At 35.9% G+C, this 26,211-nt stretch overlaps 1 protein-coding gene across 14 annotated transcripts in view, besides 1 other annotated feature; it reads right to left on the bottom strand.

Annotated features, from left to right (window-relative positions):
- SCFD1 (sec1 family domain containing 1) overlaps positions 1-26,211 on the bottom strand; it is a 113,597-nt gene that overhangs the window by 55,266 nt on the left and 32,120 nt on the right. For 10 of the 14 annotated variants that reach the window (XR_007063993.1, NM_001283031.1, NM_001283033.1 and 7 more), the window contains 4 exons: positions 10,190-10,329; positions 7,238-7,328; positions 6,588-6,661; positions 5,520-5,601 (listed from right to left, as the gene is read on the bottom strand). Coding sequence is in view for 10 of the 14 variants with exons in the window: in NM_001283031.1 (NP_001269960.1) it covers positions 5,520-5,601; positions 6,588-6,661; positions 7,238-7,328; positions 10,190-10,329 (387 nt within the window). In the remaining 4 variants the exon portion in view is untranslated. Of the gene's footprint in view, positions 1-3,728; positions 4,604-4,766; positions 4,824-5,519; positions 5,602-6,587; positions 6,662-7,237; positions 7,329-10,189; positions 10,330-26,211 lie in introns of those variants that run through there. The other 4 variants (XR_007063996.1, XR_007063995.1, XM_017021113.3 and 1 more) reach the window with 4 other exon arrangements.
- Positions 5,149-6,348: an enhancer, noted in NCBI's record as "BRD4-independent group 4 enhancer chr14:31143443-31144642 (GRCh37/hg19 assembly coordinates)". NCBI's record gives its function as "activates an origin of replication core promoter dependent on BRD2, P300/CBP, MED14 and CDK7 cofactors, and independent of BRD4, by STARR-seq in HCT116 cells {active_cell/tissue: HCT116}" and the evidence as "EXISTENCE:reporter gene assay evidence [ECO:0000049][PMID:35650434]".

Genomic DNA, 26,211 nt, shown 5'->3' with positions numbered 1-26,211 from the left:
AGAGCAAACCATTCTCACTGAATTTTAGTAGATATGTTTTATGGAACTACAGCATGGTAGAGAGAACATGGGACTTAAAAACCCAAGTTAAAATTCAGGCTTTGGTAGATGGTCTTAAGGCAAGTATTCAGTATTTCTGAGATTCAGCTCCTCTGTAGAATGTGGGAATATACCTACTATGTTAAATATCTTATGTAACAGTGAAAAAAAAAGTTCATTCTCCCTTTAAAAGAAAAAAAACCCCACATCCTATGTTTGTATTTTCAGCCAAGGATTAGTTCTGTTCTCTGGGGAACCCTGGCTAACACAGGTTGTTTGCTTTCTCATTATTGAGTTTTGAGATGTCTTTATTCCTTTGAATTTAATCTTTATGAACCTATTAAACTAGGTCTTGCTAAATGACAATGCTTTATCCTCATAAAAGTAGGTATTAGGGAAGTGAGAGCCAAGAGCAAGAAAAAGTTGATTTCATACATATTTTTTTTGAGATGTAGAAGTAGTTCCAGAAATTCACAGTAAGGAGTTGAAGGATATTCCACTCACTGAAGAGCTATCTTTTGTCATACTTGCAATAAAAAACAAAACAAAGCAAAACAAAATACTTCAGATTCTCATAGTAACTAATCTTGAGATGAGAAGAGATAAAAGACAAGTGATAGCTCATCCACTGTGAACTTTCTGATACAGAATATATTTTTCCTCTGTCTTAAAGAAAAGACACCAAGGTAATAAGAACTTTCACTTGATATGCATACTGGACAAGAGATCATTTTAAACAAATCAGCACAAAATCCAGCCAAAGAAATGTTCTGACTTCTAGTTCAGTAAAAGACCTCTAATGTGATCAGGAGCAATAGTGATCAGTTAATCAAAGTCAGTTAATGTTAAAAAAAAAAAAAAAGTCAGTTTATGTGAAGAATAAAACAGGATCTATGTTGTATGTTTAACTTAAGACCTAAAATACGCAGTCTGTCAATCACTGATCTATGTCCAAGACTTCTTCTTTGAGTACAGAGATTCAGTGACTGACATTTTTTTTCTTTCTTGCATAAAGCACACCTATCAGAAATCACCTATGATTTCCAGGTTCAGTTCTTTGGGAGTGGAATAAAAAATTTTAGAGACATTGCAAAGCAATTTCCGTAAAATACAGTATTTTCTGAGGCTTTCCAATCTTTTATGGTTAAGGTTTTTTACCCACACCTAATTCAAACAATATTTATTTAAACCATCATGTTCACTGAGTCTTTCTAAGATGTGCAACTTAGTTTTATAGAAACAATCTTTTCATACTCATACAATTGACATAAATGCAATAAAACACAAATAACTCATTAGTAAGCAAAAAAAAAAAAATCCAATCATGAGAGCAGAAAAAGGCACAAGATGATAATAAGGAAATTGTTATGACATGTTAATAATGTGGCTACTGGCCACTGTGGTTTACAGAGGGCATCAGTTAATTTGGTGTGGTGACTAAGTGGAGATCAGTTAAGAGAGTTTCCACTTTATTTTGAAAGCTTATCTTCCCCATAAAAATATAAGGCAGTTGAACCAAAAAATAAAAATAAAAAGTCAGTCCTCAGAAGGAACACTAGTGAAAAGCTAGCATTGCCAACAAGGGTTAAGCCTTCTTTAGAGTACAGACATCATCACCTAATCAGATGATGTCTTTAGATCTAATTCAGTCCCTATAAGACTGTCTATAAGAACAAGTAAAACAAAAATGAGGATCCAGTAACAATTAAGCCTTGCCTCACAAAGTTTATTGATAGCTTATTTTTTACCAGCTATATCCGGTTGGTTGGAGCATTCAGATGTGGGTGCTTTTCCTCTAAGGTGGGAACACTGGGGGAAAGAACCCATGATACCATTTCTCTCTCTCATCTCATCAACTATGCTTTACAAGTAGGCTTCTTTTCTTTAGGTATCTGGAGCTAAAGAGTACTTTATTCAGGTTTGCTACATAGGTGAGCTAAGAATAATTAAAACAGGCTGTCTACAAATTATGTAAGTAATCCCAGAAGCCATTCTCTAACAACCAGCAAGTGGGAAAGTTGCATTTGTATTAGGGATGAAAAAACAACTAAAGAAAGGGTTTAAAAATATAGATGACTCAAAACAAATGAGTATTCAACAATTTACTCTTTATTAGACCCAAATTACCCAAATCACTAAAATCCTCAGAATATCAATAAAGTGAAAATGTTTCTTAAAGTTATGACAAACTGGTGTGCTCTAATTTTCCACCAAAACATCAATTGCGGGGTAACTGCCAGGATTTCTAAAAAGGTTAATTTCTTCTTTAGAAAACGACTGAAGGAAATGTAAGAAGCGGTTATACTCTAAACAAAAGAAGAAATATGTAAAACTAATACAGTCAAATACTAAGAGAAATGCTGAGACCTCTACATGACACAATCTTCTAGCTAGTAAAAAATATTTACGGCCAGGCGCGGTGGCTCACGCCTGTAATCCCAGCACTTCGCGGGGCCGAGGCGGGTGGATCATGAGGTCAAGAGATGGTGACCATCCTGCCCAACATGGTGAAATCCTGTCTCTACTAAAAATACATAAATTAGCTGGGCATGGTGGTCCGTGCCTGTAGTCTCAGCTACTCAGGAGGCTGAGGCAGAAGAATCGCTTGAACCCAGGAGGTGGAGGTTGCAGTGAGCTGAGAGTGTGCCACTGCACTCCGGCCTGGTGACAGAGTGAGACTCTGTCTCAAAAAAAAAAAAAAAAAAAAAAAAAAAAAAAGGTGCTTAGGTGAATGTATGTTCACAAGTAAGTAAAGCTCAGATGGTCAAGAAATTCTGGTGAAAAGAGAAGAGATTACGGAGCAAAATATTTCTTTAATTAACATTAACACAGCCAGCAGTAGGTGGCTTAACATAGTAATGGTATAAATAAACATGCCGCTTATAAGGATGGAAATTTAAGAGTTATGAAAAGTTATAAGAAATTCTGTAACTAGGAATAATGAGAAATAATGAGAACAATACAGTTTATCTGCTACTTTTGACAAGGAAGAACTTAAAATATTTAAAATAAATATGCTTCTTTATCTAGGATATAAAAAAAACTTCTGATTTTTAATTGGGCTTCTTAGAATGACCCAACTAGGAGTAGTGTGTTCTACAGATGACATTATTTTCCCTCTGTAAAGTGAATGTCCTCAATAGCACACTTTGTTTAAATCAGATCTTATGATGAAAAAGGATCATTAGCAAGATAATGATTCAATAATATCTATTTTTTTGACTGGGTGTGGTGGAATGCACCAATAGTCTTAGTTACTAGGGAGGCAAGGCAGGAGGATCCTTGAGCCCAGGAGGTTAAGGCTATATTGAGCTATGATTGTGCCACTGTACTCCAGCCTGGGTGACAGGGAGAGACCCTGTCAAAATAAATAAATAAGTGAATAAATAAAATCTATCTTTTACATAAAATCACTCAATATCTTGAATGACAGATTAGTTTCTTGGCATAAGATGCTCTGCCAGAGAACTAGCAACCCTAAAGGGAACACTTTCTTTTATAAGACCAAGAGGTCTTCAAGTAGAATTGTTTAGGTTGGGCATGGTAGCATATTAAACTATCTCAGACAGATGGCCTCTGTTAGCAAAAACTGATCTGAAAAACTCACCTAAAATCATTAGTGTAAAATTATAATAAGCACGATAAAAATTTCGTAAGTAAATTATGTCTTATAAATCATTTTTCACCTACACATCTATAATAGTTGTCTTCCAGTTCCACTTTTATTTCCAGAACTCATTGTCCCTTATCCTCCACAGTCTTCTTTATTTTAAAACATAAATCAGATCATGTCATTAACCTCTAATGAGTTATCATACTTAAATTTCTACTTTTTTTGATTCCATATTCTACCATCACTCTTTCCCTCCTCAATAAAGCACAATTTGTCTTTTTCTAGGTTCTCAAACATACCGAATTTGTTTGTCGTAGGGCCTTTGCACTTCTTATTCCCTCTGCCTGGCATGGTTGGCCCTGAGATCTTCACTAATTGGCTCCTTTCTGTGATTCCTGTCTCAACTCAAACATCACCTCATCAAAGGTGATTTCACTTGCAGACTTACTCCAGAGTAGGCCTCTCAGCCATTCTCATATCCCATTGCCTCACATCACCCTGCTGTTTTTGTTGTTCTCATGTCACTAAAATGCCTGAAGTTAACTTGTTTTCTAATTTGCTTACTCTGTTTACTGTCACTACAATATAAGCTTCAAGAGAACAGAGAACTTGTCTGTCTTGTTTACTACAGTATCTTCAGGGCCTAGTACAATATACATAGAGCCACTCAATAAACATGATTGAATAAGTAAATTAACCAAAATTTTCTCAAACTATAAGTTCTAGTCTCCGACCTGAAGGAAATTCTCAATATAGCTCTCTGTTGTATTTCACCTGGTGATATATCTATACATCTATATCTGTATCTGTATCACCTCCACAAGAGACAATGACCTCAGGTAAACAGATCTGAACAGCCTTTTGCCATTTCACAGAGACACTACATATAGAAGTGAAAACATCAGCAGAATCACCTACAGACTGCAGTTCTGTTTCTATTCCTGTATGAACCTGAAAAATATCAAGTACCAAGATGTGAAACAAAGAAAAAAATTAGGTTGTTGGCGTAATAGTAATTATGCAGGTTTAAACTGCATGCTGCCCATTATCTATGTTAGTGCCTTTCTAATGCTTTTGTGGCTTTTAAAATTATTTAAATAATACCTTTAAGTACCTTCTCAATAAATCCCAGGTGTTATCAACTTCTCTGACAGCCAGCAATTATATTCAGCTTTTTAAACAGTTTCAAATGCATCATATAAAATGGAAAGGAGGGGTCAATATTAGCCAAGTTTTAGCATATGGTCAATCTGCCACAGAAATTCAGCTCCAAGTGTGGAGAACAAATAATAGCAGAATACTGAAGGACTGATTAAGTAAGCTGACAATGGGGCAATCATGAACACGGTAATGAGAAAAAGAACTATAACAATATATAGAACTCCCAACATACTTGTTTCAAAATCACAGTTCAATGATACACAGTAAGAAGCTTCAATGTTAACAGATTCTCTAAATTTAAAAAGTTCAGAACAAAGTCACATAAATAAAAGTGATGTTATTAATGGATATTTTAGATAGAACTCTGGTAAAAGAGATTTCCAAATCTATTACTGATGCTGAGATACAAGTCTACTATTAATACAGTAGTATGTACAGCAGTGATATTGAGGCAGTGCAATATAATAGAAATATCATAGATTCCCACTTCTATTTACTAAACATGTGACCTTGGAAATCACTTATCTTTCTGGATTCCTAGGTTACTTTATTTGCAAAAAAATAACTATAATACTGCTGTCTTCCATAATTATACTTCATGTTACAGTGGGGACTCAATAAGATAATGAATACTAAAGCATCTTACAAAGTATAAAACCCTATGTAAATGCAAGTCATATTGTGGGGGGGAAAAAGTTAAATTTACCTTTATATGTTCTAAAACAGCAGTGGCAACATTTGTATGGAGATCAATAAGTCTTTTTTTCTCAAGGAGTTCTGGCAAAGAACTGCAAGTATCAAAAAATTAAATATTAACCAATAAATTTTCTAAAATGACATAGACTTTATCTCATGCCTGGTGTTTCCCCTGTGGAAACTCAGAACAGTGAAACAGTAACAAGATGACGAATTAAACTATCAACTAATTTAATCTCTAGACTTGAACACCTACAGTATTTATTAATACAGGTGAAATGCTTATTTTAAAATAATCTGGCTCCCAAATATCATTATTTCTATCACTTTACTTTCTGATTCCAAATTTTGGAGGTTTAAATAAAATCAAATTAATGGAAACATGCGTTATCTGTATTTCTAAAACACATTTCCTCCCTCCTTCTTTTTTTTGAGACAGAGTCTCTGTCGCCTGGGCTGGAGTGCAATGGTGCTATCTCGGCTCACTGCAACCTCCGCCACCCAGGTTCAAGCGATTCTCCTGCCTTAGCCTCCCAAGTAGCTGGGACTACAGGCGTGCACCACCACTCTCAGCTAATTTATTTATTTATTTTTTTAAGTAGAGATGGAGTTTCACCATGTTGGCCAGGATGGTCTCAATCTCTTGACCTTGTGATCTGCCCGCCTCAGCCTCCCAAAGTGTTGGGATTACAGGCGTGAGCTACCGCGCCCAGCCTCCTCCCTCCTTAATGGCATTCAAAGTACAGAAAAAACTGTTTAACTTTTAGTTAAGAAAACAGTATCTATAATAAAATTAATAATCGCTTGCCCTACTTTATCATTAATAGTATTTTCCTCATAAAATTACCCCTATTACACAGTTCTAACTGGTGAAAGAATGAATAATCTCCTATATCTAAGAGGGAACTAAAATCGGCTTAAACATTTAGCTAAATACAATTTAGTTCTTTAAATTCAAAGTTATATTTGCTATTGCCTACAGTTTCCTACTAGTTAAAAACATTAACAATTTTTTAGTTAAATAAAAAAAAAATCCTATCAACAGAAAGACTTCAAAGAGGATATACTGCTCACTTACCTAACAGCTGATGTTAGCTTAGCGGTATTGTCAGAAAGCATACTTATGGCTCCTTCATCTTCCCCTTCTAGTCCCTTGTAAAGAAAAAAGGTCTCAATAGCTACTCAAAAATCCCAGGCACAAGCATAAAAATCAACACATCCTAAGATTGGAGCAAATATCCTAAGATTATTGATATACCGTAAGATTTTTAAGTCACCTAGAATAGTAATTCTCCTCCTCTGAGGTGCAAGCATATATATTTTAATGTTACATAAAAGTTCTAGTAATCGCCAGTCTAATGGTTAGATGTCTAAATGATCAGCTGGCATTTTTGGATAAGGAGACAGGCCCAGAGACGTGCCATAGGTCACACAGCAATAAACAGTAGAGCTGAAATCTGAAGTTACATCGAAGTATGGTAGAATGAGCAGCATTGGAACATACATCTCTAAAATGATGCTACATTATATATTTTTTCAAATCATATATTATTTTTTCTCTTCTCAATATTTAGATTTCTTTTTGATCACTTACGCAAGTTGAAAATATTTTTGTTATAAAAGCATTAAATGGCCTTCAATTTTTATAAGGAAAAAAACCCAAATCTCTTTATCTAACAGATAATCCTCCTCTTTCCTATAATTCTTAGAAAGCAAATAGAATCTTACCATAATGCTTTTAAGTCGTTTGACCTCATCTTCCTGTGCTCTGTAAGATTCTAGTTCTTGCTGAACTGATTCTGCAACTTCTGGGAATGGACTAAAACAGTATTGCACAAGAACTATGAGGATGACATTAAAAGACCAATTTTTGTGTAAATTCTAAAATATATACAATGAACATTTATTATTTTAAATATACTTATTTGGATTTGAATATATGTTATATATAACAAAGGCAGAAAAGATTCAGCACAAATACAACTACATATCTTTCTGATATCTATATAATACTATTTCTTTAAAATGCATATAATATACATCTAAAATTTAAATTTCATTTCTATTTTTCATTAACAGTATCATACATTCTCTTCACTTATACGTTTTTAGAAGAAAAAGTAAAATATTTACATGACTGAAAATCAATGGAAGACAAGTCATGTTATATCAAATATCAATTAAATATTCCCATCCAAATTAACACGTCATGTCAAAGGGTCCATGCAACTACAAAGACAGCATTTAAAAATATCACCTGCAAGTAACTGTGAAAAAATTCTTGTAACTCAGAACTCATAATATCCCAGAACACTACTGGTAAAAATAGCACTTGGGCCACAGTTTTGGTGGCCTAATACCTGATGTCTTCTACCAGGACATTGTGGTTTAGCAGTAACTTACATAGACTTTAGGCAGAAGTGATCTGCAATCATGAGCACTCAGGTAGAAAACACTGTACTAATCTTGACAAACTCTAGGTGAATACATGTTGATCATTAAATGTTTCTTAAAATGAGTATTTTTCATCTACAGCCTAGGGGGAGGCCAGAAGCCTTTTCTCCTTTAAGAAAGAAAAGGTCATGTCTCATTAACAGTGAACAAAAACCTTTCCCCCCTTCCTCAGCTCTGACATCTGAAAATACCTCTCTAATAACAAGCACATTTTATCCAATGGAGACTAGCAGAAAAGACAGGAGCTCAGAAAGGATTCTGAGGAACACAGTCCAATTTTACCTCACAAGCACAGGCATTTACTCCAGCTCCAGTTGAGTCTATGTTGGCAAAAAATAGCACTGAGGCCTCAGCATTGCACTGGGGAGTCAGAAACCCTTGTTCCATCTAATTATAATGGAAACTTCCTTTACAGGCAAGCTCTTACCCTCTCAGGGCCCTAGCTTTATCTGTAAAATGTGTGGGTTGAACTGGATAATCCTCAAAATCTCTGATATCTTTAGGTCTCAGAGTTAACAGAGAATAATTGCTCACATTTATTAAGTGATTTTACTATACATCAAACACCATGCTAAGAATTTATCTTTTCTTTCTTTTTTTTTTTTTTAAGATGGAGTTTTGCTCTTGTTGCCCAGGCTGGAGTGCAATGGCGTGATCTCGGCTCACTGCAACCTCATTTAATCCTGATGAATCTGTTGAGGTAACTATCATAACTTAACTATTCAATGTTAAGACTGGGTGCTTTATGGTCTGCAAGACCTGGGTTTCATCCCTGGCTTTACCAACGAAAGCTGGATGACTTGGGCAAATTACTCCTTTAAATTCATTATCTCAATCTTCTCAACAACCTTCTGAAATAGGGCAATAGGTAGAATTATTATCTCCCTATTTTACTGATGAGGAAACTGAAGCTCAGAGAGGTTTAGGTCACTTGTTTATGCTATCTCCAAGTGTCTTTGTGCCCATGTTACTATTGTATGTAAGATGCAGAGCAAAAGAGCTATTCCTACTTAATGAATAGGAGGTTAAAATTCTTACTATTCAACTGACCTCTTAAATTGTTCTTAAACATATGTTCTAAAAAAATTCAAAATTTCCATATTTGAATACAGAGATTTTTTTCTTAAGCTTTTCTCTATTAGGGAATGCCAACTTCAAAATATTCTGTATTCTCTATAAATAATGCCTCTCTAATAAAAGTAATTTCTTGTACTTCACCATTCTGGAGGGAAACGTAGATTATGGAATTCCAAAGGGAAGAGTATTATTTAAAATCAAATTTATTAAAATTAATTAAAATAGTACCTAAAACTGCCATAGTGAGAAAGAGAAAGACAGTGACTTTTCTCTGCAGAGAAAGTCAAATCTTTGTTATGGCGATTTGATTTTCCAGCTTAAAAAAAAGTTGTAAGTAAAAAAAAGATAAAGCATATTAAAAACCCAGCATGTTGAACCAAGTCTATATTCGACTTCTCTTTAAACAATAAATATAAGCCCAAAAAGAACAGCTATATCAAGGACACACACACATTTTGAAATATTTTTTAAAAATCATATTTTCATAATTGTTGATGAACAGTATTCTTTTTCTCTGAGGAATAATATTTTTGTTTGTTTAGAATGATGGCTCTAGCCATAATGATCACTAGATAACTTTTATAGCAGTAACTGAGCCCATGAAGTACCCTAAACTTTAAGGGGGCATAGCATCACATGGGATATGTATATCTGCCCACAGTAAATCACATGGCAAATTAATGCAGTTTTATCACTCATTATTTCTAATGTACTTTGAATAAATTTCTAGGCTTTTAGGCTTAGGTACTCTCTCCACAAGTATCTAAAACAAGGTTTACATGAGGGCAACATGTAACAAAAAGGAAAAAATCACCCCCAAAATCACAAAAGCCAATTTAAATGAAAGGCAGAGATGGTCTTATAGAGTCAGTGGAGACAGCAACAAAATTGAAAAAGACTATCTGTATAGGATGATCTCATTGAAAGGAGAAGCGGTCCCTATAAAACAACAATGAACAAAAAACAACTTAGGAATCAGTGAGAAATGGAGAAATAAAGACAAATATCTACAGACTATCTAATTACAGCCCCCACTCATTGGGTGAACGAACCTACATGACCCTTTTTTTTCTCAAATTCATTAAGGTGGATGACACCTTAATTTCTCTTTAAAAAAATGAATCTTTTACTTATTGATATTTTGCTTACCTTCCTTTATGTTTTTGCCAAAATTTATCAACCGGAGTTAAATCATAAGACTTCTTGTTTTTTCTCTTTGGTCTAGCACCAGCTGGAGAGTTTTCCACTCCTGAAGATTCTTCCAAATTAACCCTGTTTAAATGGAAATCCTAGGAAAAAGTAATCTTGTGTTAAACAACTGTTTTCTAAGTCTAATAAAAATAGAATCTTGTTGCCCTTTCTAATGTTTCCAAGGACAAAATATAGATCTGAAATTTAAAACATCTCCTCCCAATCTTTTGTTACATACAAATGTAATTTTGTTTCTGTATTTTAATGAAAGTATTAGATGTATATTAAAATTTCAAACAAGAAAAAGAGAAAAACATGTCAATATGCTTGTGTATCCTTCTAGAAAAACATTGATGCATATAATAGCACATACACATCCTCTTAATTTTATTTTTTAAAATGGGATTACAGGGTACATGTTATATCTTTTTTCATCTAATAATACATTTTACAGCTCTTTCTGTATCTGTATATGTACATTTACTTCATCTTTATCATAACTACACAGTAGTCCAATGTTTGGCTAAATCAACTTATGCAACCAGGCCTCCTGATGCTTGGTCATTTCCAGTAACAAATGTTATCTTAAATATTTTTAAACTCTTAGAGAGTCAACATTCTGATGTGTCACTTGAGTGATGAACTGCAATTTTAAAAATTACAATAGATGCTATAATAATAAGTGATGCCCCTCTTTCACACAAACTTTAAGAGTCAGGCCAGTAGTGGCTAAACTTTCTTGCCTAGGACTAATTTTATTCACGTGAGGCTTGATTTTTGTACCTTTTCTGTAAAAAAAACCAAAAAACCCCCCAAAACCCAAAACCAAACCAAACCAAACCCACAAAAACCATTAGGCAAAAATAAAAGTAAGTATCTTTTTTCTTTCCCCCAACTTCTTGCATTACATCTATGGGTTCCCTCACAAATAGCAGCATTTTATGGTTTAATGCCAACTAAAGAATAGTGAAAGATAAAACATGACTATCAACAAGTAAATGATTGATGAAGAAGGAAGACACAGTATGGAGAAATTATCCAGCATGACTGAAATATAATTATCTTAGTTCTAAGGTATCTGTATATATTTTGAATTAATGATTATTCTAGGTCTTAGCAAATTAAATATACTGAATGCAATTCAGTCTCCTTTAGATAAAACAAGGTTATCAATACTGACTCTAGGTCCTTAACATAAACCTTGTAACTTTCTCAAATAAATCTTTTATAATAGTTTATTTCCTTGCCATTTTTCTCTTTGACATAAAAAGCAGGATTTGAAAAATTACAGATGTCTACATACCCAGTAATGGGATTGCTGGGTCAAATGGTATTTCTAGTTCTAGATCCTTAAGGAATCACCACACTGTCTTCCACAATGGTTGAACTAGTCTACACTCCCACCAACAGTGTAAAAGCGTTCCTATTTCTCCACAGCCTCTCCAGCACCTGTTGTTTCCTGAATTTTTACTGATCACCATTTTAACTGGTGTGAGATGGTATCTCATTGTGGTTTTCATTTGCATTTCTCTGATGACCAGTGACGATGAGCATTTTTTCATGTGTCTTTTGGCTGCATAAATGTCTTCTTTTGAAAAGTGTCTGTTCATATCCTTCGCTCACTTTTTGATGGGGTTGTTTGATTTTTTTCTTGTAAATTTGTTTACGTTCTTTGTAGATTCTGGTTATTAGCCCTTTGTCAGATGGGTAGATTGTAAAAATTTTCTCCCATTCTGTAGGCCGCCTGTTCACTCCGATGGTAGTTTCTTTTGCTGTGCAGAAGCTCTTTAGTTTAATTAGATCCCATTTGTCTATTTTGGCTTTTGTTGCCATTGCTTTTGGTGTTTTAGTCATGAAGTCCTTGCCCATGCCTATGTCCTGAATGGTATTGCCTAGGTTTTCTTCTAGGGTTTTTATGGTTTTAGGTCTAACATTTAAGTCTTTAATCCATCTTGAATTAATTTTTGTATAAGGTTTAAGGAAGTGATCCAGTTTCAGCTTTCTACATATGGCTAGCCAGTTTTCCCAGCACCATTTATTAAATAGGGAACCCATTCCCCATTTCTTGTTTTTGTCAGGTTTGTCAAAGATCAGATGGTTGCAGATGTGTGGTGTTATTTCTGAGGCCTCTGTTCTGTTCCACTGGTCTATATCTCTGTTTTGGTACCAGTACCATGCTGTTTTCGTTACTGTAGCCTTGTAGTATAGTTTGAAGTCAGGTAGTGTGATGCCTCCAGCTTTGTTCTTTTTGCTTAGGATTGACTTGGCAATGCGGGCTCTTTTTTGGTTCCATATGAACTTTAGTTTTTTTCCAATTCTGTGAAGAAAGTCATTGGTAGCTTGATGGGGATGGCATTGAATCTATAAATTACCTTGGGCAGTATGGCCGTTTTCACGATATTGATTCTTCCTATCCATGAGCATGGAATGTTCTTCCATTTGTTTGTGTCCTCTTTTATTTCGTTGAGCAGTGGTTTGTAGTTCTCCTTGAAGAGGTCCTTCACATCCCTTGTAAGTTGAATTCCTAGGTATTTTATTCTCTTTGTAGCAATTGTGAATGGGAGTTCACTCAGGATTTGGCTCTTTGTCTGTTATTTGCGTATAAGAATGCTTGTGATTTTTGCACATTGATTTTGTATCCTGAGACTTTGCTGAAGTTGCTTATCAGCTTAAGGAGATTCTGGGCTGAGACAATAGGGTTTTCTAAATATACAATCATGTCATCTACCAACAGGGACAATTTGACTTCCTCTTTTCCTAATTGAATACCCTTTATTTCTTTCTCTTGCCTGACTGCCCTGGCCAGAACTTCCAACACTATGTTGAATAAGAGTGGTGAGAGAGGGCATCCCTGTCTTGTGCCAGTTTTCAAAGGGAATGCTTCCAGTTTTTGCCCATTCAGTATGATATTGGCTGTAGGTTTGTCATAAATAGGTCTTATTATTTTGAGATACGTTCCATCAATACCTAATTTATTGAGAGGTTTTAGCATGAAGGGCTGTTGAATTTTGTCGAAGGCCTCTTCTGCATCTATTGAGATAATCATGTGGTTTTTGTCTTTGGTTCTGTTTATATGATGGATTATGTTTATTGATTTGCATATGTTGAACCAGCCTTGCATCCCAGGGATGAAGCCAACTTGTTTGTGGTGGATAAGCTTTTTGATGTACTGTTGGATTTGCTTTGCCAGTATTTTATTGAGGATTTTCGCATTGATGTTCATCAGGGATATTGGTCTAAAATTCTCGTTTTTTGTTGTGTCTCTGCCAGGCTTTGGTATCAGGATGATGCTGGCCTCATAAAATGAGTTAGGGAGGATTCCCTCTTCTTCTATTGACTGGAATAGTTTCAGAAGGAATGGTACCAGCTTCTCTTTGTATCTCTGGTAGAATTCAGCTGTGAATTCACCTGGTCCTGGACTTTTTTTTTGGGTTGGTAGGCTATTGATTACTGCCTCAATTTCAGAGCCTGTTATTGGTCTATTCAGCAATTCAAATTCTTCCCAGTTTAGTCTTGGGAGGGTATATGTGTCCAGGAATTTATCCATTTCTTCTAGATTTTCTAGTTTATTTGCATAGAGGTGTTTATAGTATTCTCTGATGGTAGTTTGTATTTCTGTGGGATCAGTGATGATATCCCCTTTATCATTTTTTATTGCGTCTATTTGATTCTTCTCTCTTTTCTTCTTTATTAGTCTTGCTAGCAGTCTATCAATTTTGTTGATCTTTTCAAAAAACCAGCTCCTGGATTCATTGATTTTTTTGAAGGGTTTTTTGTGTCTCTATCTCCTTCATTTCTGCTCTGATCTTAGTTATTTCTTGCCTTCCGCTAGCTTTTGAATGTGTTTGCTCTTGCTTCTCTAGTTCTTTTAACTGTGATGTTAGGGTGTCAGTTTTAGGTCTTTCCCGCTTTCTCTTGTGGGCATTTAGTGCTATAAATTTCCCTCTACACACTGCTTTAAATGTGTCCCAGAGATTCTGGTATGTTGTGTCTTTGTTCTCATTGGTTTCAAAGAACATCTTTATTTCTGCCTTCGTTATTTACCCATTAGTCATTCAGAAGCAGGTTGTTCAGTTTCCAGGTAGTTGTGCGGTTTTGAGTAAGTTTCTTAATCCTGAGTTCTAGTTTGATTGCACTGTGGTCTGAGAGACAGTTTGTTGTGATTTCTGTTCTTTTACATTTGCTGAGGAGTGCTTTACTACCAACTATGTGGTCAGTTTTGGAATAAGTGTGATGTGGTGTTGAGAAGAATGTATATTCTGTTGATTTGGGGTGGAGAGTTCTGTAGATGTCTATTAGTGCAGAGCTCAGTTCAATTCCTGGATATCCTTGTTAACCTTCTGTCTCGTTGATCTGTCTAATATTGACAGTGGGGTGTTAAAGTCTCCCATTATTATTGTGTGGGAGTCTAAGTCTCTTTGTAGGTCTCTAAGGACTTGTTTTGTGAATCTGGGATTTGTTTTATGAATCTTGTTTTGCTCCTGTATTAGGTGCATATATATTTACAATAGTTAGCTCTTCTTGTTGAATTGATCCCTTTACCATTATGTAATGGCCTTCTTTGTCTCTTTTGATCTTTGTTGGTTTAAAGTCTCTTTTATCATAGACTAGGATTGCAACCCCTGCTTTTTTTTGCTTTCCATTTGCTTGGTAGATCTTCCTCCATCCCTTTATTTTGAGCCTTTGTGTGTCTCTGCACATGTGATGGGTCTCCTGAATACAGCACACTGATGGGTCTTGACTCTTTATCCAATTTGCCAGTCTGTGTCTTTTAATTGGGGTATTTAGCCCATTTATGTTTAAGGTTAATATTATTATGTGTGAATTTGATCCTGTCATTATGATATTTGCTGGTTATTCTGCCCATTAGCTGATGCAGTTTCTTCCTAGCATCTATGGTCTTTACAATTTGGCATGTTTTTGCAGTGGCTGGTACTGGTTGTTCCTTTCCATGTTTAGTGCTTCCTTCAGGAGCTCTTGTAAGGCAGGCCTGGTAGTGACAAAATCTCTCAGCATTTGCTTGTCTGTAAAGGATTTTATTTCTCCTTCACTTCTGAAGCTTAGTTTGGCTGTATATGAAATTCTGAGTTGAAAATTCTTTTCTTTAAGAATGTTGAATATTGCCCCCCACTCTCTTCTTGCTTGTACAGTTTCTGCTGAGAGATCCACTGTTAGTCGGATGGGCTTCCCTCTGTGGGTAACCCAACCTTTCTCTCTGGCTGCCCTTAACATTTTTTCCTTCATTTCACCTTGGTGAATCTGACAATTATGTGTCTTGGGGTTGCTCTTCTTGAGTATCTTTGTGGTGTTCTCTGTATTTCCTGAATTTGAATGTTGGCCTGTCTTGCTAGGTTGGGGAAGTTCTCCTGGATAATATCCTGAAGAGTGTTTTCCAACTTGGTTCCATTCTCCCTGTCACTTTCAGGTACACCAATCAAACGCAGATTTGGTCTTTTCACATAGTCCCACATTTCTTGGAGGCTTTGTTCATTTCTTTTTACTCTTTTTTTCTCTAAACTTCTCTTCTTGTTTCATATCGTTAATTTGATCTTCAATCATTGATACTCTTTCTTCCACTTGATCGAATTGGCTACTGAAGCTTGTGCATGCATCACGTAGTTCTCGTGCCATGGTTTTCAGCTCCATCAGGTCATTTAAGGTCTTCTTTACACTGTTTATTCTAGTTAGCCATTCTTTTAATCTTTTTTCAAGGTTTTTAGCTTCCTTGTGACCGGTTCAAACATCCTCCTTCAGCTTGGAGAAACTTGTTATTATCGACTTTCTGAAGCCTACTTCTGTCAACTCATCATTCTCCGTCCAGCTTTGTTCCGTTGCTGGCGAGGAGCTGCAATCCTTTGGAGAAGAAGGGGCGCTCTGGTTTTTAGAATTTCCAGGTTTTCTGCTCTGTTTTCTCCCAATCTTTGTGGTTTTATCTACCTTTGGTCTTTGATGATGGTGACCTACAGATGCAGTTTTGGTGTGGATGTCCTTTTTGTTGAGGTTGATGCTATTCCTTTCTGCTTGTTAGTTTTCCTTCTAACAGGTCCTTCAGCTGCAGGTCTGTTGGAGTTTGCTGGAGGTCCACTCCAGACCCTGTTTGCCTGGGTAATCACCAGCGGAGGCTGCAGAACAGCAAATGTTGCAGAACAACAAATATTGCTGCCTGATCCTTCCTCTGGAAGCTTCATCTCAGAGGGGCGCCCGGGTGTATGAGGTGTCAGTCAGCCCCTACTGGGAGATGTCTCCATGTTAGCCTACACAGGGGTCAGGGATCCACTTGAGGAGGCAGTCTGTCCATTCTCAGAGCTCAAACACCATGCTAGGAGAACCACTGCTCTCTTCAGAGCTGTCAGACAGGGACGTTTAAGTCTGCAGAAGTTTCTGCTGCCTTTTGTTCAGAAGCATGGCTATCTTTCATTTGCAAGGCACTATTCTTAGCACCTTATATTAAGTCATTTGATCCTTACAATAACCTGTAGAAGCAGTAATAAAATTCCCATTCAAGATGAAAAAACTGAGGCATAAAGAAGTTAATTGTCCAAAGTTATACATAAATATGTGGCAGAATCAAGATTAAAATCTAGGCAGTCTGACTTCAGAGGCAGTGCTTTTAAGCATTATGTTTTAGTTGTATCACAGTGAGAACAGAGTGAGTGGAATTAGATTCTATCACTTGAAATTCCCTGTAGTGCAGAACATGGGTAGCCTCAGGTGAAAAATAGGCAATTTAAAGACTAGAGAGTTACAATAAATGGTTGGAATGACGAAAGTTTAGTATATTTCACTCTATTACTGTTTTTCCTATAGACCCCTCATATTATCATAGGGCAAGAAAGTGACTTTACTTAATCCTCTCAGTTTCCCATCCTCGTATCTAAACTTCACTTTGCACAAAAATCATCCATATAGAGAGAAAGTAAAAATAGCACAATTGTGGAAAACTATTTTAAACAGTAACAGCTACATCTGGAAAGAACCTTAGATTTAAAAAACTATCTAACAAAATAAAAGATATTGAAGAGAAACATCTTTAAACAGTTAAGTTTTATTAACTAGAATTTCTAGTGAAGTACTATTTCCATGGTGATGACACAGCTCATTCAAAATAAAGTTAACTTGCTAGCAAAATTACTGCTCTAAAAGTAGGAAAGCATGTTATTACTGAAGTATTGATGGAATACTTAAAACACAAAATAATAAAGGAATAAAAGATGTTAAGAATTCTGAGAAGTAATTTAATAGCAAGGATATTTCCATTGTTTGCATAATAGTAAGGCAAATAAAGGTAATTTCAATCTTCCAAGTTAGGAAATTAAAACATCCTGTGCTGTACTCAATCATGTTAAAGCAACTGAACGTTTATACACAAATAAGACAACAGAATTAGTTTTAACATGATAGAGTCTAATCTGTTTCCATTGACAGTCACATTTTCCTAACTTAGAAGATAGGACAAAGGTGCCCCAAATCACTACATATAAATAGATCCCATCAGGAAATGCTAAAAACATGTAGAAGCCTTCAGCAGTCTTGTTTTCTTTTCCCAAGTTAGAGCAATCAGTAGAGCCAGAGAGAGTTAATGTTAACAAAATAATCTCTGGATAATATAGGCAATACCTATTTATGCAGACTTGCAGTTCACAGGCAAAGAAAAGGAAAGTAAAATAAAAATATCTTTTATTTTGGCAAGAATTTACTATCTCAACTCTAAATGCTATTACAGCAATCATTAAACATCTATTGTTTCAACAGATGTACTTTGGAGTCATAAACACAATGCCAGAATTTTCATATTGAGGTGACACACTAAGGTGAGTCTTCAACTTCCACTATCAAATTAACCAACAAGAGAAATAAAATACAAGGGAGAATCTATTTAAAACTAGGGAACACATATAAATACTTCTTGATAACGATGGAAGTGAACAGAACTAAGGGATGTGAGGAAGAGGAAAGGAAACTACCCATTGGCTCCACCAACATCTTCCACAGCTTTGGCTTCCATCCTCGCCTACATTAAAGAAATGTCCCATCAGTCATTTGAAGATGAGCACACCTATATTGTCTCATCCTTGCACACAAACCTAGGGAGAATTCTCATCTCCAAAAAGAAGCATTTTCTCTGGAGAAAATCTTCATCTTAGGAGTTAAATAGTTTGGGGAATAGGGTTGACACCAATGAGAGAAGAAATGATAAAGAAAATGTTTAATGCACATGAATACATTTGTGTGTATTTTCTCTAAAGCAGGCAAATATTCCTCCTGTAAATCACAATTATTTCTTTCATACTTAAGATTTTAATTGTAAAATAAAAGCTGTGAGTTTCATCACTTTTTGCCAAAGGTGGGTAAAAGACAAAATATGATCTTTAATATATTAAACAGAAGATAGAATTCTAAGACAGGAATAAGGATCATTGCCTTCATAAGATAAATCAACAGACTAATATATCAGGGTTTCAATACCTATAACAGTTTCAATTGGATTTAGGGAAAATTAAAGCATTATGTGAAAAATTTATTTTTCAAAGCTCATCCCTAAAACTAATTTCCACAAGAGAAAATGTTAAAGACTAGACACCTAAGCAAAAGGGAGTTTAAAACTTATTTCTACTCTTCCTAAATGCTTCAAAACCAGTTTCTGTTCAACATTTGATAAAGTGGTGATAATGCCTCTAACGACACAATTTACAGAAGCTCCTAGAGACTGTAATTCTATTTCTTACGGAGACATCAATTATACACAACCAATAAACAATTTCCTACCCTCAAAGAGCATGGATAACTATGGAACTCAATGAGAAGAGATCAGAAGCTTTACTCTAGAGAACGAGTTACACATCAGATGTTATTTGACATCCATCACTCTACAACAGATACATATATATTAAGATGGGCTTCTAGCTAAAATGATATAAATGTAAATTTATAATGGCACAGCTGTCCTGAGTGGCTGAAGAAACAAAACTCCCAGTCATGGTGATGATATGTGGTTTTAATCCATCTAACAATTTAAATCCAAATATTTTCTGCTTTACATAACAGTCATCTGGTTTCTTTGGTTCACACAAATCAGTCTCTCAAACGAAACTCGAGTAGAGCAAGGATTAAAACATGTTTGTTAGGAAGAAACAGGAAGACTCAGCCTTCCATTGATGCTTTCAAATTGTGTGCAAAGTCAACAGTCACTAATGTAATTTTACAATTTCACAATGCTACTTGTTATTAAAAAAATGGGTTCTTTAATCTCAGAGAATGAGAAAACTGGAAGATGCTGTCTTTTTCGCCATGGAAAATGTCTGGAAGCAAAAGTATCCCAGTAGAAATAAACAGCGCTAATAGCCCAGACTGTGGTATCCACTATTTGTTACTCAAAGGAACCAGAGGCTTTTTGAGAAACGGATGCAGCCAGGTCTGAGGCAGAAAATGAATATGATTAGCTTAGGATATTTTTCATACCAGGAAGCAAAGAAACTATCAAAGACTGATGGGGTTATGTCAAGAAGCTATCAAGGCCAACATGATAGGCCAAAAACGAGATAATTCAAGCATCAAAATGAACAACTGTAATAGTGTAAAAACATCTCAAATATAAAAATCTGTTAGTTCATAAAATGATACTTAAACAAATGACTTTATTGATTGTCTCTGCAAATTACTAGGGTACTCACTAATTCTGAAAATTGACAAAGGAAGACAAGCATTTGTCCTAAGTAGGTGATAAAAAAAAAAAGTTATTTATATAAGCATGTTGGCTAAAAAGATGGAGGAGGAATAACAGAAAATCACCATTTGCCATCAGTAATTAAAATAAAGAGGCAATAATTATCAGTGACATTTAAACCTTTAGGTAAAAGATTTATGGAGAACCCTTAATGGATGGATCATGCTGACAATACCTGAAACTACTGATCAATCTGTTCACTAACATTAGGACAAACAGACATTATGTACCTCCTGATGTAATAAAACAGAAACTAAAGAACACTGCTAGTTAAAGTGGCCTTGACAAAGAATTGAATGAGATCTAATCAATTTCCACAATCAATTAGTTTACAGAAAGTATCGGGAATACAAAAGGATACAATCAGCCAAATGCCAAAATGTAGGAAATTCTATAGAAAAATGACCTAATTCTTTCAATCAAAAAATGGCAATTAAAAAGAAGTGAGGAGGGAGGAACTGAGAGATTTAAGAGCCATATCAACTAATGCCATGTATAGATGTATTTCTGGATCCTTATTTGAACAAGCCAACTGTAAAGAAGCATCTTTGAAACAATCAATACAGAGCGGGTATATCACCAGGAAATTATCATTAATTTTGTTGCGTAAAATTATAACTTTAAAAAATAGATACATGCTGAAGTATTCATGCTTAGATCATATAATACCAGGGAAGCTGAACAATGTAAACATGAGTTCATTACAGTATTCTCTGTATTTGTGTTATTTGAAATATTCCCTAGTAAAAGTTTAAAAAATTTTATTCATACCAGAACCTAAAAATATGAAGTACAACCCACAATCGTTTTGCTCATCCATACTGGACAAGGAACAATAAATACTATGACCAAGAAAAAAAAATCTTTATTATTTTATGCCACTGAGGTTAGAGGGTTAGACTAAGTAGCACAACCTAACCTATCTTAATTCAGAGGCCAAGGTATTCTTTACAGCATCAGCAATATATTTGGGAAGCTTGTTCATTTTTATTAAAGCAGAGCTGTTTACAACCCTAGGACTCATGAGCTGGAACCCTCCCACCCACCAGATACATTGCCGGCCATATGCAAACATTTCTACCAGTCTTCATGTGATAATTTCAACTCATAAGCAATTCATTCAATCTCTAAAAGTAGTAAAGAATTTGGGTCTTATGATTTAGAATTGCACTGTCCAATACAGTCGCCAATAGTCACAGGTGGCTACTGAGTACCTTCAATGTGGTTAGTCTGAATTGAGATGTGATGTAAATGTAAAATATATAAGACTTAAATATGAAAAGAAAACATCTAATATCTTAAATTATTAATTGATTACATGATCCTATATTATGTTGAAATGCAAATATTTTGAATATATTTGATTATAAAATATATTATTAAAACTTTGTAAAATGTTCCATCATATAGACAAATGTTATACAACTAGAATATAAGGCAAAAAAAAAAAAAAAAACTATAGCAGCTACAGTTAGATCAGTAAATAGTACATACTCTTTTTCTCCCTTAGATTAAATAAAAATTCAATCCAAGTTCAGACACAGCAACAAATATGGAGATATACTGAAACACTGCTATTTTTAAAAAGTGAATGAAATCAGGGATATCTTTTGGGCTTTTACATAGCCTACAGACCTTCAGTAGACACTTCCTATCAAGTACAGTAAAATATATATTTGCTTGGATTAAATGAGTAAAAGTTTACATTACACTTTTGACTTTTAGGCAAATGCTTGAAATTAGGCTACATAGTGCTGACCAAGAGGTTTTGTGTTAATAAAGATTAGAGGATCAAAGAATGTCAACCTTGGACCCAAAGCATCAATCTTGAACTATATCTAGGCACCTGTTACATTGCAATCACACGTCTTTAAGGAAATAGGTGTTCCTGAAGTGCTTCTCTTATAACCTTAGCTAGGTGCATTAGCTATAATCTTAGCTAGGTGCGTTAGCTCACGCCTGTAATCCCAGCACTTTGGGAGGCTGAGGCAGGTGGATCACCTGAGGTCAGGAATTCTAGAGCAGTCTGGCTAACATGGCGAAACCCCATCTCTATTAAACATACAAAAATTAGCCGGGCATGGTTGCACATGCCTGTAGTCCCAGCTACTCAGGAGGCTGAGGCAGGAGAATCGCTCGAACCTGGTAGGCAGAGGTTGCAGTGAGCCGAGATCGCACTCCTGCACTCCAGCCGGGGCGACGGGGCAAGACTCCATCTCAAAAAAATAAATAAATAAATAAAATAAAAAATAAAAAAAATGCTTCTCTTACAACCTTTTAAAAAATACATATTTATTTGGAAACCATTTTTTTTTTATTCTTGACTGGAAAAAAAGGTAAACTTTAATTAAAGTCCCTATGTCTATTAGTATAACTTCCGATTTAATGTTTCAAATAATAAGAGTCAGTAGCAGAGGGTGAAAGGTACAAAAAGAGAACCTAAGATTTGAAAAAATAAAGGCCAAGTAAAAAAACAGAGATAAAATAATGTCCATCCCTTTGACTGAAGTCCACAGCTCTGCAGCTGAACAATCAAATCCACCTCTCCTGCAACCAAGATATAATAAAAAAGAATCAGGGCTTCTAATTACTAATTTTGCTTCTTATATCCCAATAAAAGGAGATGGGCACTGCAAAGTTGCTTTTTCTTTTTTTTTTTAACCAGAAGTGTGTATTTCCCGTTTAAAATGAGAAAAATCATCTTTCTGACACAGAGGGAAGCTGTGTGAATTTTCATAGTTGTTTGTAAGTTCTAATATATAAACAATTATCAATGGTGCAGATTTTCAGGCAAAGACATTTAATATAAAAAGTAAACTGCAATTTTAAGTTAACATTTACTATTTACTTACTCCATCTTGTGGAGGCAAAGGGTATAATTATTAAGCGTTTTAAAAGCTCTGAAGACCTTCAAAAGTAGCAGGTTTAGCAATCAACAAAAATTTTTGTGATTATAATTTATGACATCTCAGTTATAGTTTGTTCATATCCAGAAACTGCATTAAGATTAATAAACAGAATTAAGTCATTTTAAGTTGCATAGTTAATTATAACCAACCTCTTCAAAGATTCCCAACTTTTTATGTGAAGATTAAACAAAAAAACTCTACCATCTACTTTCACCACCTTTTATTTTTAAAAGGATATTTTCACTTCAAATAGTAGGAAATAAAAATTGTATAAAGGCCAGTATAAAAACACATTTCATAGTCCTTTTTATTCTCATCTCATTCTGAAACAGTGAAAACCTCATCAAGGACCAGTATTATCCTTGTTTGGTTTTAGGGAATCTCTGCCCTAAGTTATATTTCCCAATTTCCTCTTCTGACAATGGAGACTGAGTCTACCCTTTTTATGTTGCAATTATTTGTACATGTGTCTTATCTCCTGTACTCAAAGCACCCTGTACTTTAATTTCCTCCATCCAGGGGAATGAAGAGGGAGCCCAGGGACTCTTAAAGTTCAAGAATTGGAAAGGATCCCTAGACATCTCGGTGTTTTAGATTGCCTTAACACCAACACCACTGGCAGGTGTGATGAGGCACCCGTGATCTGTATGCTATGCTCTTATTAAGACACTTGCCCCTTGCTCCTACCCAACAGTAAGGGCCCCACCAACCAAATATGATTTGAGACTACCAATACTATCTTATTATGCCCATTAATCCCTGTACAACTCTTTAACCTCCAATCCCACTGAGACCCCATCTCCTATTCTTACCCTACTCTAGAAATCCTGTCATCACTTCTGGAACCCATACTCAGTCATCAGCAAAATCTCCTATTCTGAACATCCTCTCTAAACTTTCCCTGTTCTTTCTTGCTCTAATTGAACTCCAACTGGCTAACCCCTGGAGCCTTCTCAAATGGGAACCTGATTTTTTTTTTTCTTTAACCTCTCACAGCTCATACCACTGGATCTGAGACTGGAATTAGGTGTCTTCCTTGCTACTCCCAGACTCTTTACTTGCCCTCTTTCCTAAAACTAGCTTTGAAACTCATGTTGTCAGCCTGTAACCATGGTTCTCAATTGGGCAATTTTGCCCCTTTCTGCCACCCGGGGTATAATTGGCGTGTGTAAGACGTTTTGATTGTCACAACTGAGGGAGTTCCACTGGCACCTAGAGAGTCAAGGCCAGGAATGATGCTAAACATCCTACAATGCACAGGACAGCTCCCCCTGCCCCCCAACAAAGAATGATCAGGTCCAAAACGTCAATAATGCCAAGGTTGAGAAATCCTGGTCCACAGTGCTCACTAATGCCACCTGCAGGACGCTCTTATCTCCTGCATCATTAACTTCGCTGTTTGGATCATTCCCATTAGTATACAAACATGTTGTAATTTCCGTCATTTAAAAATATTTTCTGTCCGGGTGCAGTGGCTCATGCTTGTAATCTCAGCACTTTGGGAGGCTGAGGACCAGACTTTTTTCCTGAACTCCAGACTCATGTAACTACCTACTCAACATTTACATTTTGATATCTTAATGGGCACCTCATTTTTTTTTTTTTGAGACAGGGTCTTTACTCTGTTACCCAGGCTGGAGGACAGTGATGTGATCACAGTTCACTGTAGTAGCCACAACCTGTTGGGGATCAACTGATCCTCCCACCTAAGCCTCCTGAGTAGGTGTGCCACCACAAGTCACTAATTTTTATTTTTTGTAAAGATGGTGCTTCCTTATGTTGCCAGGCTGGTCTTGAACTCCTGGGCCCACGTGATCCTCCTGCCTTGGCCTCCCCAAGTGCTGAGATTACAGGTATGAGCCACCATGCCTGGCCGGCATCTCACATTTAACATACCCAAAACTAAACATCTGATCTTCCCTGGGGAAACTGCCTTTTCCATCCCACTAAACAACAACGTCTTGCCATTTGCAAAGGCTAAAACCTTGGAGTCATCTTTGAGTTCTCTCTCTCTCTACATCTAACTCCCACATCTAACTTATCAGCAAATCCTATACTCTACAGTCAGTATAAAAAACACAGCCCTTACCATTTCTGTCCTGCTATAAGCTGCTATCATCTCAGCTAAGATAACTGCAACAGCCTCCTAACCGATCTTGCTCTTCCTGTGCCCCCAAGGAGTCCATTTTCAGTATAACAGCTAGAGTGACAGTCTTCAAATGTATATTAGAATCCCATGTGGTTCCCCATTTCCATCAAATTAAAGTCAATGGCCTTTACAATCACAATACAATCATATACTATAATCCCTAGAGTCCTGTATTATATTGCTTCCTGGGTCCTATTTATTTAACCTTTTCTCCTGCTTCTCTTCCCCTGCCTCTCTTCATTGTAGCCATCTGGCTGCCCTGCCATTTTCCAAACATATTAGTCATCCTTCTGCTTATGTTCTTTTCCCACATAGCTATATAATTCACTACCTTACCTCCTTTAGATCTTTACTCAAATGTCATTTTATCAGTGAGAACTTCCCTGTTTTAAAATTTCACTCCTGTTCACCATTATCTACTTTACTGTCTTTCAGGGTATCTTCCACCTTCTGAAATGCTGCAAGTTTTATTTTCTTTATTGCCTGTTTCCCCTACTAGAATGTAAGCTCTAGAAAGACAGGAAAGCTATTGTTTTTGTTACTATTGAAGCCAGGGTTTAGAAAGTGTGTTAAAGAGTAGGCACTCAAATATTGGTAGAACTGAATTCCTCCTCTCCCACCTCTTACTTGACCTCCTAAAGCCTGATTCCATGTTCTACTACTTAGGGTTTAATTTAAGAGTCCCTTTGATTCTTCTTGCCCTGTCTACTGAATTAAAGTTGACTGCTATTTCTTCGACACTCATCCTAGAGTCATGGCATAGAAGAATGGCCAATTTCCATCAGTAATTCTAAATCTGATTTATTTAAATAAACACTTTAGAGCCAATATCCAGGTTTTAAAGAAATAAACCAAATCATCTATTGCATGTCTTTCATTTCCTTTTTTTTTTTTTTTTGAGACTAGGTCTTGCTCTGTCACCCAGGCTGGAGTGCAGTGGCACAATCTTGGCCCACTGCAACCTCCGCCTCCTGGGTTCAAGCAATTCTCAAGCCTCAGCCACCCAAATAGTTAGGATTACAGGCGTGTGCCACCACGCTTGGCTAATTTTTGTATTTTCAATAGAGACAGGATTTCGCCACGTTGGCCAGGCTGGTCTTTAGCTCCTGGCCTCATGTGATCCGCCTGCCTTGGCCTCCCAAAGTGCTGGGATTATAGGCATGAGCCACTACACTCAGCTTTCATTCCCTGTTTATAT

The sequence above is a fragment of the Homo sapiens genome, chromosome 14 (genome assembly GCF_000001405.40).
Source record: "Homo sapiens chromosome 14, GRCh38.p14 Primary Assembly".
NCBI lineage: Eukaryota > Metazoa > Chordata > Mammalia > Primates > Hominidae > Homo > Homo sapiens.
The sequence above is the reverse complement of the archived record's forward strand: the minus strand, read 5'-3'. Positions and strand labels throughout refer to the sequence as shown.